Source organism: Homo sapiens, chromosome 9, assembly GCF_000001405.40.
Source record: "Homo sapiens chromosome 9, GRCh38.p14 Primary Assembly".
NCBI classification, from domain to species: Eukaryota; Metazoa; Chordata; class Mammalia; order Primates; family Hominidae; genus Homo; species Homo sapiens.
This window is the reverse complement of record NC_000009.12, coordinates 73,473,738-73,476,890: the sequence shown is the minus strand read 5'-3', so window position 1 is coordinate 73,476,890 and position 3,153 is coordinate 73,473,738. Positions and strand designations below refer to the sequence as shown.

General features: G+C 49.5%; 1 pseudogene; it reads left to right on the top strand.

The window, feature by feature from the left end:
• Window positions 811-2,714, top strand: DPP3P2 (DPP3 pseudogene 2; annotated as a pseudogene).
• The last annotated feature ends 439 nt before the right edge of the window (window positions 2,715-3,153 follow it).

The following is a 3,153-nucleotide window of genomic DNA, read 5'->3' as shown; positions in this document are numbered from 1 at the left end:
GTATAATCTGTGTTCAAATATAGTTTCTCACTGCATATATCTAGTTGTGTCTGTCAGATACAAACTGTTATTGCTATCATTAGCCAACAAGTAAATCCCTGATAAATGAGCATGTCAGAGGGTGCCCCTTCAGTCATCTTTGGCACAGCCCTGCCATTAATCTAAGGGAAAATTTTTCTGTGATCTTGGAGCCTTACTCATATTTTGTGATCTTGAGCTACAGGCTTTGACATTGCACTGAGACCAAGGATTTGGGGGTTTCCTCGCTGACTTTGACTTCAGGCTGACACACTGTTGCAAATCATTTCACCTGCCACTATGTAAGCTCCTTTTCTGTCATAAGGACACTGGTCTATACACACAAATGTAAACACACCCAAATTATTCTCAGAAGTAAAAATATATATAGAGAGAAAGAAAATAGACAGAAAAAATTCTTTGGGAAATAGATGTCACATGAAATAATCTTCTTCTGTTACTTTTGTGCTTTTGCTCATTGGTATGAGAGATGGTGGTGTGGAGGTAGACTACTTCTAACATTCTGATTCGAGATCTGCTTGTTAAAATAATAATTAAAAAAAGAGCTTATTCATGGATTTCTTGTTTATCCTCAGAATTACCAGTTCATTATTTAAAAGAAGTACATCCTAATTTTTTTGTAGAAATTGACTGAGAAAAAATGTTGTCCGTCAGTGGACATTATATCTATACATTACTTATCTGACAAAAAAAAAGGAGGCTGGGAAGATGACGTCCCTGCAGCCCTGACCTCAGCAACTCCTCTTTCCCATGTCCCCTCTCTTCCCTAACAGTGAATCACCACCTATTTCTTTGGTAATTGTACCATGGAAGATGGCAAACTGGCCCAAGACTTTCTGGACTCACAGAACCTCAGTGCGTGTACAACACCTGGCTCTTCAAAGAGGTCGATGGAGAAGGGAAGCCCCACTACGAGGTGCAGCTGGCTTCTGTGCTCGGCACAGAGCCTTCCCTGGACTCCGAGGTGATTCCAAGCTGAAGAGCTAGGAATTCCGGGGAAGCCCTTTCCAGGTGACTTGGGGGAACTACATGCCCATCCTCCAGAAGGTGGTGGAGCAGCTGGAGAAAGCCAAGACGTATGCAGCCAACAGCCACCAGGAGCAAATGCTGGCCCAGTACATAGAGAGCTTCACCCAGGGCTCCACAGAGGCCCACAAGAAGGGGTCCCGCTTCTGGATCTAGGACAAAGGCCCCATCGTGGAGAGTTACATCGAGTTCATCCAGAGCTACCGTGACTCCTTTGGTTCCCGAGGAGTATGTGAAGGCTTCGTAGCCGTGGTGAACAAGGCCATGAGTGCCAAGTTTGAGTGGCTGGTGGTGAGCGCAGAGCAGCTGCTGAAGGAGTTGCCCTGGTCCCCAGCCTTTGAGAAAGACAAGTTCCTCACCCCTGACTTCACCTCCGTGGATGTTCTTACCTTCGCTGGCTCTGGCATCGCTGCCGGCATCAACATCTCCAACTACAATGACCTGAAGCAGACGGAAGGCTTTAAGAACGTGTCACTGGGGAACGTCCTGGCTGTGGTCTAAGCCACGCAGTGGGAGAAGCTCACCGTTCTGGAGGAGAGTGACAAGGACTTGTACATCGTCCTGATGGGGCCCTCCTTCGATGTACAGGTGGGCCTGCACGAACTGCTGGGCTATGGCAGCGGCAAGCTCATCGAGCAGGATGAAAAAGGAGCATTCAACTTTGACCAGGAGACCCATCAATCCAGAGATGAGAGAGCAGATTCAGAGCTGGTATCGGAGCATGAAGACCTGGGACAGCAAGTTCAGCACCATTGTCTCCAGCTACGAAGAGTGCCGGGCTGAGAGCGTGGGCCTCTACCTCTGTCTCCACCCGCAAGTGCTGGAGACCTTTGGCTTTGAGGGGGCTGATGCAGAGGAGGTGATCTCCGTGAACTGGCTCAACATGGTTGGGGCTGGGCTGCTCGCTCTGGAGTTCTACACACCTGAGGCCTCCAACTGGCAGCAGGCCCATATACGGGCCCGGATTGTGATCCTGAGAGTCTTACCAGAGGCTGGCGAGGGACTCGGTACCATCACTCCCACCGCAGGCTCCGATGGGCGCCCGGAAGCCCAGGTCCGTCTCGACCGCAGCAAGATCCAGTCTGTGGGCAACCCTGCCCTAGAGCGCTTCCTGCGGAGGTGCTGGTCCACAGGGGATGTGGCCGGAGGGTGGACCCTGTACGAGAGGTATGCAGCAGTCGCTGATGCGCCCCCTGAGGGCTTTCTCACCCTCAGGGACAGGGTGCTGCTGCGTAAGGAATCTTGGAAGCTCATCGTTCAGCCCAACATTCGCCTTGAAGGCTCAGACGTGCAGCTTCTGGAATACGAGGTCTCAGCTGCTGGCCTCATCAGATCCTTCTCTGAGCATTTCCCAGAGGATGGACTCGAGTTGGAGGACATCCTAACACAGCTGGCAACAGCCGATGCCCAATTCTGAAAGGGCCCCAGTGAGGCCCCATCTGGCCAGGCTTGTGGAAGAAGTGTGTGGCCTCTCCCCCAACTGCATCAAACCAAGGCTGCAAGTGGCCCTCCATTCGTGTTGTATTTAGGGGCTGGGGAGGGGGAGGGGGAGGGGCAGGAGCTTGGACCTTGGTACTACCTCAGCTGAGGGTGGTGACACTAACCCCTTCCATTTGTCAGCACCTTCCAGCGTGCCAAGTGCTTCCCCTCTGTGAACTCATTTCATATGCACTGCCATATGTGGAGTGAGCAAGACCGTGCTCACCATCCCGTCTACCAGATGAGGAAATGGCAGTTCTGAGAAATCACGGTCTAGATCCTGTAGATGACATGTGACAGCTAGGGTTCAAAACGTTCTCACCAAATCCAATGCTCTTCACGTATTAATTTTATAACCTGGCAAATAAATATTAGAGACAACCACCAAAAAAAATTAAAAATAAATTAAATAAAAAAACTAAATACCTTCCATGGTGGGAAAGCTCCAAGGAGATCCCAGTGATCTCCTTGTCCTAGTGTTCACTGCTTCTTGTAATTCCCTCCCTGTGAATGATTAAATATATGTGTCTAGGATATAGTGCCCCATTACTTAACCAAACATCAATCTAGATATGCCATAAACGTATTTTGTAGATGTGATTAATGTTT